This window comes from Homo sapiens, chromosome 1 (assembly GCF_000001405.40).
Source record: "Homo sapiens chromosome 1, GRCh38.p14 Primary Assembly".
In the NCBI taxonomy this organism is placed as follows: domain Eukaryota; kingdom Metazoa; phylum Chordata; class Mammalia; order Primates; family Hominidae; genus Homo; species Homo sapiens.
Window position 1 is genome coordinate 210,306,232 of NC_000001.11, and position 17,235 is coordinate 210,323,466.

General features: G+C 40.9%; 1 long non-coding RNA gene across 1 annotated transcript, besides 2 other annotated features; it reads left to right on the forward strand.

Moving 5' to 3' along the window:
- Positions 4,850-6,049: an enhancer, noted in NCBI's record as "P300/CBP strongly-dependent group 1 enhancer chr1:210484426-210485625 (GRCh37/hg19 assembly coordinates)". NCBI's record gives its function as "activates an origin of replication core promoter dependent on BRD2, BRD4, P300/CBP, MED14 and CDK7 cofactors, with strong dependence on P300/CBP, by STARR-seq in HCT116 cells {active_cell/tissue: HCT116}" and the evidence as "EXISTENCE:reporter gene assay evidence [ECO:0000049][PMID:35650434]".
- Positions 4,990-5,983, forward strand: LOC124904502 (uncharacterized). Its single transcript, XR_007066865.1, has 2 exons — positions 4,990-5,175; positions 5,687-5,983. It is a non-coding gene; the product is annotated as an uncharacterized LOC124904502 (long non-coding RNA).
- Positions 5,079-5,138: a silencer, noted in NCBI's record as "silent region_1778". NCBI's record gives its function as "represses an Ori minimal core promoter by ATAC-STARR-seq in GM12878 lymphoblastoid cells {active_cell/tissue: GM12878}" and the evidence as "EXISTENCE:reporter gene assay evidence [ECO:0000049][PMID:35858748]".

Below are 17,235 nucleotides of genomic sequence, written 5' to 3' on the forward strand. Positions count from 1 at the left end.
ATCGTTTACTACTATTTTTCTTATTTCCAATAGATAGAATCACTATAAATGTCCCACATTAAGATTTGTGTTCGTTCATTTCTGGTGTGTCCAAAAGGAATAAAACAGTATTCCCAAACATTTAATATTTTAATTGTTTTGTTATTTTCAATGGGTTTTAGAAATAAATCACTTACTCTGGCCTCATCCATTAGTACAAACTTATTACTGCTTCAAATCATCTTTTGGCTAGATTGTATATACAAATAAATATGTAATTCACTGAAAATCTACTCAGTACATGTTGCCAGGCTTAGTCAAGGGAGCCCTAAAGCAGAGGTGTTTGAGACCTCTCCATTAAGCTATGAAGACCTTTTTGTTAGTTACAAAACTCCTCTTACTGTAGGTAAAATAGGTGAAATAGTGGCTGATGTTGAGTCGGTGGTAGAAGGCCCAGATCCTGCTGTGAGCCACTCCTCCAGTCTCAAGGGTCTCCTCAGTATACCTAGACTACTATGAAGCACAGTTTGAAAACATGGCCTATTAGATGAGGTGTAATTTCAACCTTAGTGTTTCTTGGGTACCGAAGTGGGTCACCTTAGTAGTAGTAACCCATGCCAGGCACTGTGGTGGACACCTGTAATCCCAGCACTTTGGGAGGCTGAAATGGGTGAATCTCTTGAGTCTAGGAGTTTGAGACCAGCCTGGGTAACATGGCAAAACCTCATCTCTACAAAAAATACAAAATTAAAAAAAATAGTAATAACCCAAGTTTTATTGACTCTTCTTACCGCATGCTCAACTAGGACCTTCTATTTGTTTCAACAAAGTTCTATCCAGACTTCATTGAGGATGTCTCACATGTCCTTATGAATGGTGACCATGTTATTATAGTCAACGCACAGATTCCTCTAGGCTCGTCCCTCTTCTTTGGCCTCAGCCCCATCCAAGTTTGCTGTCCACAAAACCTCTTGAGATGACTCTCCATTGCCCTAGCTTCTGGCCACCACAATCAGAATTTCAACATCCAAGCCAACTAAATCCAGAGGCCAAAGTTTCTAATCCATGAGGGCCAGAACAGCACTATGTCCTGGCCCATCTGTCTGGCAACCTGTGTCATGCGGGTCCCTCAGGAAAGTAAGAATGATACTCTTGCCTCAGGCCTCACTGAGTCCCTCACAAAGACCAATAGTATAGCTTTAGCTCACAGCCCCTTTTCTACCAGGCTCAGACATCAAACTGAGGTGCCAGGTATGGAACAAATCCCACTTTGGCCTTTCATTTTTACCTCCAACCCGATGGCCACTAAACCTCCTCCCTTCTGTTTCTACTCCATATAGCAAACCTACAAACTGACTATTCTTGTCCACCCACCAGTTTAGGTCCATTCTCTGACATGTTTAAATCTCAATTTGGGCTTAAAGTGGAATTAATTCATCAGATGACATTATTCTAAACAAGTTTGATATCAGCTGCCTTGTTTTCCTTAGGTTGACACCATTGACTTCTTTATGCCGTGGCTCTGAGCCCAGCCCTGGGGTGCCATGAGCTTAGATGGAGAGATTTGCTCAGGACATGAGACAGCTTCAGCATATGCACCAATATCTTTGGCCCTTGGAATGAATGTGTTATCCAAAGGGCAGCTACTGTCTTTAATAGATTTCCTGGAAAATTATGGAGAAAAACAAACAAACAAACCACAAAAGCTATTTCCTGATTTTTCCAGCAACTCTGACTAGTTTTGAGTAGGTTGTTTTTATTATTTCTTCCTTTGGGGAACGAATTAAAGTTGTGTGTTTATTTCTGCAACATTGAGAAACACAAAAGAAAGTCTCCCAAAAGGATGATCCTCTTTCCCATTGCAGATATTTGCCAACAACCACATGAAAAGGAAAAATATGCTTGAAGACAATGCATTATGCAACAGATTTGCCTTATAATATTACTTATAATTCCAATTCTATTTTAAATTCATTTAAGGTGTGACTCCCCACTCCCCTGCACCATCCAAAGTCATTTAAAGACCTAGGTGGGCTGGGCATGGTGGCTAATGCCTGTAATCCCAGCACTTTGGGAGGCCAAGGTGGGTGGATTGCTTGAACCCCGGAGTTTGAGACTAGCCTGGGCAACCTGGGGACAAACCCTGTCTCTATAAAAATGATAAAATTAGCCAGGTATGGCATGCACCTGTAGTATCAGCTACTCAGGAGGCTAAGGTGGATGAATTACTTGAGCCCAAGAGGTCAAGGCTTCTGCTAGCCGAGATTGCGCCACTATAATCCAGCCTGGGCAACAGAACGAGACCTTGTCTCAAAAAACAAACAAACAAACAAAAAACCAAAAAAACCTAGATGATAAATAAATAATCATACTGATAACAGCCTCTCATATTACCAGAGAGAACACGATTCTAATAAAAGCCAGTCATGACCACACTCAACATCTAGGATGGGGAAAAACTGTTGTGTTCTTTTCCCATTGGCTCTCCTTTTGGTCATATGAAGACAGCTTTAGGGCATTTGGAAGGCCCGTCTTGAGAACTTCTCAAGGCTGGTTTTAGTTAGTGGCACTTAGAGTACAACATGTTTAGATTTTTCCAAGAGGACCATCTCTAAGCAATCTTTCGCCTGCCAATAGCAACAGCATCTCATAACCATGATGTGCTACTATGCTCAAAGAATGCTTCCGTCTTCAAGGTAACAAAAGAATAGAACAAAGGCAGTTGAAGGAACTGAGACATATAAATGTATTGGTTTCCTACAGCTGCAGTAACAAAGTACCAAAAACTTGGTAGCTTAAAACAACAGAAATTTATTCTCTCACAGTTCTGGAGTCACACGTCCAAAATCAAGGTGCTAGCAGAGTTTGTTCTTTCTGGAGGCACTGAGGGGAAAGCTGTTCCGTGCTTCTCTCCTGGCTTCTAGTGGCTGCAGGAAATCCTTGGGGTTCCTTGGTTTGTAGATATATCACCCCAATCTCTGTCTTCACATTGTCTTCTTCTCCATGTGTCTTCTTCCTCCCCTCTTCTCCCCTCCCTTTCCCTCCCCTCTCCTCTTCTCCCCTCCCTTCCTCTCCTTTCCTTTCCTCTCCTTTTCACTCCTCTTCTTCTCTTCTCAAGACACTTGCCATTGGATATAGGCTGATCCTAATAAAACATAATCTCATCTCAATATCCTTAATTAATTACCTCTGCAGAGATCCTTTTTAAAAATAAGGGGATTCGAGACCAGCCTGGGCAACATGGTGAAACCCCATCTCTACAAAAAATACAAAAAATTAGCCAGGTGTGGTGGCGTGCACCTATAGTCCCAGCTACCCAGGAGGCTGTGGTGGGAGAATCACCTGAGCCTAGGAGGTTGAGGCTGCAGTGAGCCATGATTGTGCCACTGCACTCCAGCCTGGGTGATAGAGTGAGACCCTGTCTCAAACAAATAAGTAAATAAATAACATTTAAAAATAAATTTAAAAGTAAGGACATATTCACAGATTCTGTATCTTTTTTGGGAAAGGGATGGTGGCACCATTCAACCACCATAACATGTAAAGGTAAGTCAAGTAAATCCAAGTGAAAAAGGCAACAAACATGTCTATGATCCTTTAAGAAGAGATAAAATGACTGGAATTATGAACTGGGGATCAAGATATTGAGTTATATAGTCTTAGTTCTGTCAATGGTGACTCTGGGATACTGGGCAAGACCTTCTCCTTTGCAGGCCTGGTTTCTGCATTTATAAAATGAGAGGATGGATTAAATTAGTTTGAAAGTATGTTCCAGCTCTGGTGTTCCATGATTCCACATGAACACCCATTCTCCTAGTTCTCACATGTGCTTATGTGCACACATGGGTGCAAGTCATACCCCACCCTCTTGCAGATCAAGCCAGCCACCTCCCAAACCCAAATGTGATTTCCACACTGAATCTATAATCTATGCTTTCTCATGTGGGGCATCTGGGAGCTGGCTTCCATTGTGTCATGTTTGACTTGGCTGGAGAAATAAATTTGGCAGTGCTTAGAAATGCCACACCTTTATATTATGAGTTTTTCCACAATCTTCTTGGTGTCCAGGACTTGTGATCACTTTTCTTTCTTATTTTCCAATTGCGTATTTCAGCCTGTGGTCTTCAGCCTGCCCACCGCTTTTTCTGCCGCAGGAGCGGCCCCTGTCTCAGATGATTGTCCTGGCACTGGCAGATGACCTAAGTAGGTAATAAACAGATAAAGAAGAGAGACTTGGAAATTCCATGGCATCACTTCTTATGGAACTTTTGATGGTAAAATGACCACATGCTGGAAATCACACTGCAACTCTACTCCAGAAAATCTGTGTGGCATCTAATTTTGGTGGATTAACTGAGTCTTACTATCCCATGCTTCATGTGAGGGCTGTGCAAAGGAAGGGTATAGTCATGGAATCGTAGAATGACAGAGCTGGAGAAACTGTACCCTTTTTTTTCTATGTACAGTGTATATGCATTTTTCTACTTAGGTTCCATGAGGGTACAGAGTGTTGTTCACAGCTCTCTCCTCAGCACCTAGCCCAGGGTGTGGCAGGTAGTAGGAACTCGTCAAATTTCTGATTATGAATGAAAATGAATGCAAATCAGATGCAAAGAAATCTGATTCTTAGAAGAATTCAGATCTCATGCAACCTTCTCATTTCTGATTCATTTTCAGTAGCCAGAAACGTTAGTAGGCTAACACTTCAGTTTCTCTGCTAAATAACTGATGAACTAAAAAGGACTAAAAATATCAAGAGAATTCTCCTATAAGGAGGAGCTCTGCACTCCTTCCACTGTGGGCATTAAGGATAGCCCTTCAACTTACCTGCTTTGTAAATTTAGGCTTTTTTAACATTGGGTTTTCTTAAACTTCTGTCTCTGCCTCCCCATTCTCCCCACTGGGCACCTCCCCCCCCCCCCCCCCCCCCGCCACGTGCGCGCGCACGAACACACACACACACACACACACACACACACACACACACACAGTGGCGGGGGGCGGGGGGTCTCATCTCTCTTTGCCGCCAGCCTGGCACCTATGGAAACAAACAAGGTCTTGTGCAGCCACCTAGTGGTGTCTCTTCACCCCTGCAGTTCCCCATGACTTCTAAAGGAAATATCAGAGGGCACTGGGAGGCACTGAGATACTTTGAAGACAACCCACTTCTCAAGGCATCTGGGACCGCCCCCAGAGGTGAGCCAGAGGGAAAACAGGAGAGCGAGCTCAGGGCGTGCCCGGCTCCGGCCGCTGCCTCACTTCCTCGGGGGTCAGCGGCCAAAGGCAGTGGGCGTGAGGCCAGACGACCCTGCACCACCCGAAGGAAGTGATGTCATGGTCTCCTTCTCCGAGAAGCCTTTGACACGGAGGGCGGGGGCGGGGGGATAGGAATGAGTGCCAGGGTGGGACAGACAGCCCTTGTTCCGTGGGAAACGTCAGGCTTTGAGAGACTTGTTTCATAAACATGCCTTGCCTCAGTTTTGAACCCTCCATTCGAGTTCCTTTACAGAATTGTCCCTTGAGAACGATAAACTGTTGTGATCAGAACAGAAAAGGGTCAGCCAAGCAGTGATCAGAGAACAGGGGCAGGCAGAACTCAACAGCCACTGGGCAATGGGGTTTAAATGAAGAGCCATAACATTGAACGAGGCTCCTAGGAGCTCCTAAGGACTCTGGAACCTTTCCACGGGGTCTTCAACCTTCACAGGTCCCGGGGTGCTGAGCCCAAGAAAGAGATGGAAGTCAAAGACCAGCACGATCAGACACACACCTTTCTTCTCATTCCATACACCACCCTGCAGTACCACCGTGACTGCTACCATCCCGCGAGCACCTTGCCTTTGAGGATTTGACCAGTTTTCATCCGAGTAGTAATGTATCCGATGTCCACTGGCTCCTTCCTTTACCCACGGACAGTTCTGTGTAAGCCTTTCTCATCTGCCTACAACGTCTGCCTATAAATTATTAGGTTTCTCCATTTAAAATAAACGGAACTTTCCCTCAAGCCTGCGATCCATACTCACCCACACCCACACTCCTCACGGGTGTCTCCAAAGAGCAGTTTATTCTGACCACTCTGTTCTGACCCCATTCCCATCTGGCTTCTGTCCTAACCATGACGGAAATTGCACTTTTGGAGGTTGCTCACGACTTTCTAGTTGCCAAATCCAAAGGCTTCATTAATAATAACATGTCAGTTTTGATATTTTATACAGTCACAGCTCCTGGTGTTCGAAGATGTAACTTAATTTTCCTAGAACTGACCTCAAATCATTAACTCAACCTCCAATGTCTGTGGTCTTTCTAATTCAAGATAAATCCAGCCCTTTCTGTTTTTTATCTTTTGTTTTACAGAGATGGAATCTTGCTCTGTCACCCAGGCGGGAGTGCAGTGGCACGATCATAGCTCACTGTAGCCTCCTGGGCACAAAGGATCCTCCTGCCTCAGCCTCCCGAGTAGTTGGGATTACAGATGTATGCCACCACACTTGGATAATTTTTAAATTTTTTTTGTAGAGACAGGAGTCTCCCTTTGTTTCCCAGACTGCTCTCAAACTCCTCGGCTCAAGCAATCCTCCCACCTCAGCCTCCCAAGTGCTGGGGACTGCAGGTGTGAGCCACCGCACCTGGTGCCCATTCTGTTTTTATTTTGATTTTAAATTTTTATTTTCATCTAACTTGTTTTTGAAATGTACCATCAGACCCATTCTGATTTTTTTTTTTTTTTGAGACAGGCTCTTGCTCTGTCACCCATGCTAGAGTACAGTGGCTTGATCTCAGCTCACTGTAACCTCTGCCTCCTGGGCTCAAACAATTATCCCTCCTAAGCCTCCCGAGTAGCTGAGACTACAGGCGCACACCACAAAACCTGGCTAAATTTTTGTATTTTTAGTAGAGACAGGGTTTCGGCATGTTGCCCAGGCTGGTCTTGAAGTCCTGGACTCTAGCAATCCACTCACCTCAGCCTCCCAAAGTGCTGGGGTTAAAGGTGTGAGCCACCACACCCAGCCCCATTCTGTTTTAAAACAGAATTGAAACATAGTCTTTGAATAGCGAATCAGAAGTTCCCTCCCCTTATTCCCCGACATTTTTTCAGTCTCTGCAGCTGCAGGGGGCATGTGTCTGTGGGGCAGGGTTCATGCATCATGTTGGTGTGGGGAGAAAAGCAGCGTCTGGCCCATCATGACATTCTGTCTACAACAGTTTCCACTGATTGGTAACTCTTGCAACTTGGTCTCATTGTCCTGAGCCAGCACTAGTTTCTGATGGCCAAGTTTCCACTGTCACCTCCCTTTGCCTACATCCTTATAGTCCAGACTGCAGCTCCTTTGGATCCTTTTGGCTTGTCCAGGGCCTCTTCTGCGTCCCTTTTGGTGGCCATAGAAACTTTTCAGATTTTTCCCCAGCCTCGCCAAGATGCAAGGGGTTTCTGTGTGGCCACCCTGGATCATGGTTGCTCTGTTCTTCTGATGCCATTCTGGTTGTGGAAATTCTCCCAGGAACTATGATTCTCCCTGGTACATTCTGAGAGGAGAGACACATGTGTCCTCTGCTATGGAGAGTCTCTGGTGATGTACGAATTTCTTTGACTATGACTATAATAGAAAATGCATTTTACATCACGGCTGAGCACACGTACACATCACACATGAAACAACAACTTCACCAAACAACATTGCCATTACCTGGCAACAAACTCTGGGATTTCCTAGTCCATTGTATTCTCTTTCTTTTAATGCTGGTTTTATCCCGATAAACCAATTTTATGATGCAAGAGGTCTCAGCCCACAGTTTAAAAAATATTGCCTTGATAGTGGGTTTACTTGGTTCAGAGGGTGGGCTCTGGGCTCCATACCAAAACTTAGGAAGCAGCTACACACTTGTTTTGCTCTTTCTCAAAATGCACAGCTTTCAGAATCAAAGAAAGTCCTGCCTCTCAAGCTGTTGTCTCTACTATGGGTTTAAAATAAATCCATTCAGACATTCAACAGATTTTTTCTTCTCAGCTTTATCTACTTTCTGTCTGAGAACAATGTGTATGGAATATGACAGAATGATAAAGAAAAGAGTAATGGTTATAAAGAAGCACAAGGGAAAAAAACCTCAGTTAACATTCCCAAATACACCTGTAATCCCAGCACTTTGGGAGGCCGAGGTAGGTGGATCATTTGAAGTCAGGAGTTGGAGACCAACCTGGCCAGCATAGTGAAACCCCATTTCTACTAAAAATACAAAAATTAGCCGGGCATGGTAGGAGATACCTGTAATCCTGGCTACTTGGGAGGCCGAGGCATGAGAATCACTTGAACCCGGGAGGTGGAGGTTGCAGTGAACTGAGATTGCACCAGTGCACTCCAGCCTGGGCAACAGAGCAAGACTTAGTCTCAAAAAAATAAATAAATAAATAAATAAATAAATAAATAAAAAATAAAAAACCAAGCATTACATATTCTGTTGGTAATAGTAATAGTAACTAATTATGATTCAGTATGTATTATGGGCCAGGCATGATGCTTAGCATTTCATGTTTATTATTTCAGTTAATCCTTATACCATCCCTATGATATGGTACAAATAGTATCCCCATTTTATAAAAAGGAAGTTAAGGCTAACCTAAATTTGACTGTTTCTCTGCCCTTTACATTCAGAGACCATTTCTCATGTCTGTTAGTTTTTGTTCTAGCCCTACCTCTATAAAATTAGGGATGAAAACTAGACCATCTCTCTCAGCTCAGAAAGAGTCCAGCAACCTTTCAAAGGCAAAGCTGCTTTCCACTAAGTTGGAAAAGTGATGGTCTTGCTGCACAGGCCTGCAGCTTGAACTGCACCCATCCCTCCTGCTGCTCTTAGCCTTTCTCCATCTAGGGCTTTCTACGGCCTAAAACTCAAGATCATCTTCTTCCAACCAGAAGGGATTAGGAGTCCTTCCTTCTTATTAGCAACCTGCAGATCCTCATAGGAAATGACCACGGTAACTTCCCTTTATCTTTTCTAAAACCCACATCTATAAAAGGGAGAAAGTGTCTCAAGAATGCAAACAAAACATAACTATAAACTTGAATTTTCTCCTTTGATTTGGTGAGTTCCTTCTTTATCCAGCAAATATTAATATTTATTGAAGATGTACTAGGCACATTTCTAGGTGCTACTGGAGATCAGGTGATGAACAAGACAGATCAAATTCTTCCCCTTCTGAAATTTACACTCTATAGGGGCTGGTTTCTGGGGAGTGCAGACACTGACTGGAGGTTTTCAGCTTTCTTTTATGTCACACTTCCTAGTAAGAAATGTGTCTTGCACAGCAATGTAGTATATTCCTTCTCCCTTCTGCCGCCACACAATAGAATCAAAGTTTTGTAGAACACTTGCTCTTATTAAATATAAAAACTAAAAACATAAAGTTAATATTGCCTTATTAATACTTGAATGCAGCCGGGTGTGGCGACTCACATCTGTAATCCCAGTACTGTGGGAGGCTAAGTCAGGCGGATTGCTTGAGCCAAGGAGTTTGACACCAGCCTGGGCAACATAGTGAGACCCTGTCTCTAAAAAAATTAAACAAGGTTAGCCAGGCTTGGTGGCATGTGTCTGTGGTCCCAGCTACTCAGGTGGTTGAGGTAGGAGGAGTGCTTGAACCTGGGAGGTTAAGGCTGCGGTGAGGTATGATGGTGCTACTGCACTCCAGCCTGGGCGACAGAGTGAGACCTCATCTCAAAACCAAAAAACAAAAAACTTGAATGCAGCATAAGAAAAATTTCCCAAATAAGCAATACAAAAACAAGAGTCAGGCAAGACTGTATTTAATGCACTAGGAGTACTTGTCTGCTTCTAAGTTTATTCCAGTCCAGAACATACAAGGATAATTCTCACTGTGCATACATTCATGCGCCTGTTTCTCTCCTTTGTTTTAATTGACTTTAAAAGTTGGAAATCCTTGTTCATACAAATAGGTAATTGTGAATGGTGATAATAAAGATGCATTCTTTTTGCCTAGGAATGGAGATTCTTCTTTAATCTTACCCTACAATTATGATTCATTTAACGTCTTGTGATTAGTCTTTCGTGCAAACGTAGAACTGAGCTGCAATAATTCATTCACCTCTTTTGGGCACCAAGTTTAGGTCAATTATTGATTCAGGGTTCTGAAAAGAAAATGAGTCTTTCATTTGAAAACTTTTATCTTGTGTTTATAATTTATCATCTGGAAAATCATGATTGCATCTGGAAAATCACTCCAAGTTTGAAACTGAGGAGTGAAATATAACGATCTCCCTAATTTTATTTCCATCATACTGACTTTACTAATAATACCATTTTCAATATGTTGTAACAATATGAGGAACAAATAGGTGCTAGGGTGATTGCTTTTAGGTCTTGCTTGCCATAACAAAATGTCTTTGGAATCCTGGATGTGTTGGACTTGCTGAATTATATTGTTGTTTTCTCCCTGAAATTATACATTTAAGTTCATTTTAAAAAATCAATAACCTCCATTAAATATACTAATTAAAAATGGCAAATATTGTCTTTGAAAATGAGATTGCTTGCCAAATGAGATTGCTTTCCAACTAGAAAAATGTGACTGTCATTTCTGAGTTTATTCATCCTGCTTAATACTTTCCCTTACGTGGTTATCCGTAGATAACAATGAATTTCAGTGAGCTTCAGTGTGAGAGTATGGTTCATTCAAATCTCACCAAAACACATCAAAATTTTGGCTATTGATGAGCTCTCTTTAATACATTTAACAACCTTCATGATGTTTTCCAATACTTCTATGAGATTTAGCAGACTTACTTCAAGAGATGGCACATTTCTATTGATTCTGATTTCTAAACACAACTGTCATGAATAGTTTTTACAAATATTTTAATGGCTTTGCTGCTTTCTAGCCATATCAGCTGGCCCTGTCACTCATAATTCCATTATTACATTTTATTTTATTTTTAAATATAAATTAAAATAATTGAATTTATTATTTTCTTTTAGAGATGGAGACTCCCTATGTTGTCCAAGCTGGAGTGCAGTGCTATTCTCAGACATGATCATAGCATGCTATATCCTTGAACTCCTGGACTCAAGTGATCCTCCCTCCTCAGTTACCCAAGTAGCTGGGACTAAATGTGCTGCCATCATGCCTGGCTCTATTTTTCCATTTTAGTAGATATTGACCAACAAAGCATTTTTCCACTTTTGTAAATATATACAATCCATTGTGTGTGAGGTTAAATTTAAACAACACAAACACCCCCACACACTCACACGCATCTTGTTGTTTTGCATACATGAGAGGAGTTTAACAACTTGCAGTATCTGTGCTGTTTTCGGGATGGATCTCAAGCTCTATACTGGATTTTAACCACATGAGAAGCATGGCTCTAGAAGGTTCTGCAGTAGCACAGATTTGACTAGAAATACTACTATCCCAAAGAATTGTACATTTCAATTTATTAGCTGATTTGGTATTAAAATCATATTCATCATAGCTATTTGTATTAGAGAATAATTTTTATTTTTTTATTTTGAAAGATTGATTTTTTTTAAAGTTGTTTCATTTTGAATTAGCATAGGTACATAATAGTTGTATATATTTATGGGGTACATGTGATACTTTGATACAGGTATGTAATGTGTAATAATCACATTAGGGCAATTGGAGTATCCATCATCTCAAGCACTTATCATTTCTTTATGTTAGGGACATTCCAATTCTACTCTTTTAGTTATTTTAAAGTAGACAATAAATTATTGTTAGCTATAGTCACCCTATTGTGCTACCATATACTAGATCTTATTCATTTTATCTAACTGTATTTTTGTACCCATTAACCATTTCCACTTTGTCACCCTATCCTTGCTATCCTTCCCAGTCTCCGGTAGCCATAATTGTACCCACTAAACTCCCTGAGTTCAATTTTTTTTTTTTTTTGCTCACATTTATGAGTGAGAACATGAGATATTTGTCTTTCTGCCCCTGGCATACTGCACTTAACATAATGTCCCTCAGTTCTATCTGTGTTGGTACAAATGGCAGGATTTCATTCTTTTTAATGGTTGAATAATATTCCATTGTCTGTATGTGCCACATTTTTTTTATCCATTCATTCGTTGATGGACTCTTAGGTTGATTCCATATCTTGGCTATTGTGAATAGCACTTCATTAAACATGGGAGTGCAGATATCTCTTTGATATACTGATTTCCTTTCTTTTGGATATATACCCAGCAGTAGGACCGTGGGATCATATGATAGTTTCATTTTTCATTTTTTGAGGAACCTCCATAGTGTTTTCTATAGTGGTTTTACCAATTTACATTTCCACCAAGAGCACACAAGGGTTTCCCTTTCTCCACATCCTTACTAGTTTTCATTATTGCCCGTCTTTTGGTTAAATGCCATTTTAATTGGGGTGAGATAATATTTCATTGTAGTTTTCATTTGCATTTCTCCAATGATTTGATATTGAGCATTTTTCCTGTACCTGCTTGCCATTTGTATGTCTTCTTTTGAGAAATGTCTATTCAGATCTTTTACCCATTTTTAAATTGGATTATTTGTTTGTTTGTTTTTTCCTATTGAGTTGTTGGAGCTCCTTATATATTGTGGTTACCCTTTGTCAGATGGGTAGTTTGCAAATATTTCCTCCCATTCTGTGGCTCGTCACTTCACTTTGTTGATTTTTTCCTTTGATGTGCAGAAGCTTTTTAGCCTGATGTGATCCCAGTTGTCCATTTTTGCTTCGGTTGTTTGTGCTTCTGAGGTCTTACTCAAGAAATCTTTGCCCAGACCAATGCTCTGGATAGTTAGAAGAATAATTTTTCAGCAACTGTGTGAGAGCCATTTTCTCTTTTGTCCAACCATATGTAACTAAGTCTCGTTAACAGTTTATAGAACAGGCCAGGCGCGGTGGCTCATACCTGTAATCATCGCACTTTGGGAGGCCGAGACGGGTGAATCACTTGAGGTCAGGAGTCCAAACCAGCCTCGCCAACATGGTGAAACCCCCTCTGTACTAAAAACACACAAAAAAATTAGCCGGGCATGGTGGTGGGCACCTGTAATCCCAGCTACTTGGGAGGCTGAGGCAGGAGAATCTCTTGAACCTGGGAGGTGGAGGTTGCAGTGAGCCAAGATTGTGCCACTGCACTCCAGCCTGGGCCACAGATTGAGTCTCCACCTCAAAAAACAAAACAAAACAAAACAAACAAACAAAAAATAGTTAATTGAACAACAGAGAAATTGTGCCAGTAATTGTTTGTCCTTTGTTTTCTTTTAAAAATGTTTGAAGGGCTTGTTAATAAGTCCAGCATGCTGTGTTTCCAAGTGTCCTTCTAGTTTTGAAGTTGTCATTACAAATAATACATTGGGGTTTGTCACTTTTGTTGGATTTTATGCACTGAAAATTTTTTTTAAATAATCCATCTTATAAAGCTGTGAATTCTCTTTTTCTTTTTAAAAGACATCTCAAATGAAGTTGAAGCTAACTAATTAGAATCAATAATTTTCTCAACCTTGTCATTATTTACAGTTCTAGGTTGAACTTGGGCATTTCTCTAATTTTTCCTTCATCATTCTTTTCTAATAAGGAGAAATCCTGTTAAAGGGAAATTCATGCTAATTTAACAAAATATACATTTGATGCAAACCTGAGACATATCTCACTTGACAATGTTCTTTCAGAAAAATGCTTTACAATGAATTCTGACTAATGTTAACATAAAATATAAACAGCTAATTATCTCATAAAGATGATGGGCATATTCATATCATATATGAGAAAATCAAATGAGATGTTTGTTTTTAGAAGGTAGAATGACTTGTACTAGCCAACTGATATTCATCGTAGTCTTTTTTTTTTTTTTCTTTTTTTTGAGACAGGGTCTCACTCCATCACCCAGGCTGGAGTGCAGTGGTGCGATCTTGGCTCACTGCAATTTTCGCCTCCCAGGTTCAAGCGATTCTCTTGCCTTAACCTCCCAAGTAGCTGGGATTACAGGTGTGTACCACCATGTCTGGCTAATATATATATATTTTTGGTAGAGATGGGATTTCACCATGTTGGCCAGGTTGGTCTTGAACTCCTGGCCTCAAGTGATCCACCTGCCTTGGCCTCTGTAAATTTTGGGATTACAGGCGTGAGCCATTGTGCTTGGCCCATCATAGTCTTTTATTAGCTTTCTTAATCTTGCTCATAGCAATTGGATGCAGTATTTCTTACAGTGTTCACAATTCCTAATAAAAGTCCAGTGATGTGTTCTCATGTTTTCTATTTTATTCTAATTGTTTATTATACTCTATTTCATTTTGTTAAAAAATAAGTAAAAAAAAATTAAATGTAGCTGTGACCCATTAAGTTTATTTTATAACCTACTAGGGTATTATGTCTTCCAAATAGTCTGAATAATGCTGACATAAATAATAAATGTATAAACAAATGAGAGAAGTTCAGAGAGTGGTAAGTGCTATAGGAAAATGGAAAAAGAATAATGTGATAGAAGAGAGAGTGACTGGGCAGAGATTAATTTTGCCAGGGATTGAATTTACCCTAGATAGGAAGGGTTCTTGGAGGAGATGATAATGAGTTGCACTCTGCATAGTTTAGGGTACTGATATGAGTCTGTTCTTCAGCATTAATGAGTAGTTTGAACTATATCATTTTAATTGTACTTCTGATTTGCCTGTTGTTTTGTGTATATCTGGTGAATCCCCAGCTAGACTGCAACTTCCTGCAAGAGAAGTCTTTTTTCCCTTTTTATAAAATCTCCCCCAATACTCAGTTTTGTGCTGTGTGTAAAGTTGGTGCTAGACAAATGCTAGTTCAATGGTGATTATTGAAAATCACAATAAACCAGGGTGGACATTCTTATAGGTGGAGCAGACAAAAGCCTATGCCAGGTGGTCAGGGTTGGGTAGATCCTTGAATCCTTCAAAATAGCTCGTGATTGCTCCTTGAGTGTGAATCTTCGTAATCAGAAATTCACTCCTTTGTCTTAAAGCCTTTATCAATGAAGTCTTAGCAACCATTTATGCCTCTGTTGAATGAGTATAATTGTATGGCTGAGTCACGGCTGAACTTAAAAGGAGGATTGGCCTGGTTAATCCTTCCTAAGCACCAGTTTTGCTGTCTGGAGAGTTGCTACCAGGCACTCAGGTCTGCCTGTCTGGATGGGAGGCCCCAGTGGAATACTTAGATTCCACTAACTGAGAGAGTCAGAGAGAAAACACACCCAGTGCAGGTGCCTGATTAATGACTTATGATTAAAATAATAGTATAGAGAGGAACTGACCATTAATTACTCACATTTACATACTAATTTTGGTATTTTTGCTTTCAAGGAAATACAATACCAAGGCACAAATTGGTTCCCTCCTTTAAACCTCAATTATCATAATTTTGCTCTATTTACTCTATTTCTAGTTTGCTTCTCAACTCCAGGGAGGACTCTCCTTGGCTTTGCTTGTAGTCAGAACTGAAGCGTTTCAAGCCAAGGCATGTCCGGTCACGTCTTGCCTCAGGGCTGGCTGCTCCGGCTCCAAGTCGGGAAGATCCAGAGGCCTTACTTCTCCAAGACAAGCAGAGATCCTCAACGTTCAGACACTTCTGCCGGTGTGTGAAGCATTAAAGGTGGGGGAGAATCTCCCTCTTCTCCCTCTCCTCCCATCTACACTCTCCCCAACCCAACTTTTCTCCTGGTGTTTAGACTTTGACGTTGGTTTACTCCATTGATCTTATTTCTCATTTCCAAAAAGAACTTAGTTTCCTACCATCCATTCCTTTTACTCCAATATCTGGCATTTGAAAGATGTTAATGCTTTTTAACAAGTGGTATTGGGAAAGTTGGATCACCATATGCAAAAGATTGAAGCTGGACCCTTACCTAACACCAAATACAAAAATTAACTTGAAATAGATGAAACCCCTAATCATAAGAATTAAAATTATAAAATTTTCAGAGGAAAATATAGGAAAAAACTTCATGACATTGGTTTCTTGGATATGACATTAAAAATACCAGCAACTGGCCAGGCATGATGGCTCATGCCTGTAATCTCAGCACTTTGAGAGGCCAAGGTGGGAGGATCACTTGAGCTCAGTAGTTCGAGACCAGCCTGGGCACCATAGTGAGGCCTTCTCTCTACTAAAGATAAAAACGGCCGGGCATGGTGGCTCATGCCTGTAATCCCAGCACTTTGGGAGCCCGAGGCGGGTGGATCACGAGGTCAGGAGTTCGAGACCAGCCTAACCAACATGGTGAAACCCCGTCTCTACTAAAAATACAAAAATTAGCCAGGCGTGGTGGTGTGTGCCTGTAATCTCAGCTACTTGAGAGGCTGAGGCAGGAGCATTGCTTGAACCCAGGAGGCGGAGGTTGTGGTGAGCTGAGATCGTGCCATTGCACTCCAGCCTGGGCTTAATAAGAGCGAAACTCTGTCTCAAAAAAAAAGAGATAAAAACAATTAGCTGGGCATGGTGGCACATTCTGATAGTCCCAGCTACTTGGGAGGCTAAGGCACAAGGATCACTTGAGCCCTGGAGACGGAGGCTGCAGTGAGCTATGAATGTGCCATTGCATTACAGCCTTGGTGACAGAGTGAGGCCCTGTTTCAAAAAACAAAATAAAAACATAAACAAAAAACCAGCAACAAAAGAAAAAATAGTTAAATTAGACTTCACCAAAACTAAAATGTCTGTGCATCAAGGGACACAATCAGCAGAGTGAAAAGACAAGCCACAGGATGAGAGAACGTATTTGCAAATCATATATTTGATGAGGGATTAATATCCAGAATGTACAAAGAACTCCTACAACTTAACAAGAAAACAAACAATACAATTTTAAAAATGGGCATAGGACTTGATTAGACAGTTCTCCAGAGAAGGTATGTAAATGACCAATAAGCATATGAAAAGATGATCAACATCACTAATCATTAGGGAAATGTAAATTAAAACTACAAGGAGATACTACCTCATACTGATTAGAATGGCTAGTATAAAAACACATCAAAAAATAACAAGTGTTGGTGAGGATATGGAGAAATTGCGCTGTTGATGGGAATGTAAAATGGCACAGCCTCTATGGAAAATAGTATGGCAATTCTTCGTAAAATTAAAAACAGAATTACCATATGATTCAGCAATTTCACTTCTGGGTATATACTCAAAAGAATCGAATGCAGGGTCTTAAAGAGATGTTTGTATATCCGTGTTCATGGCAGCATTATTCACAACAGCCAAAAGAAGAAAGCAACTC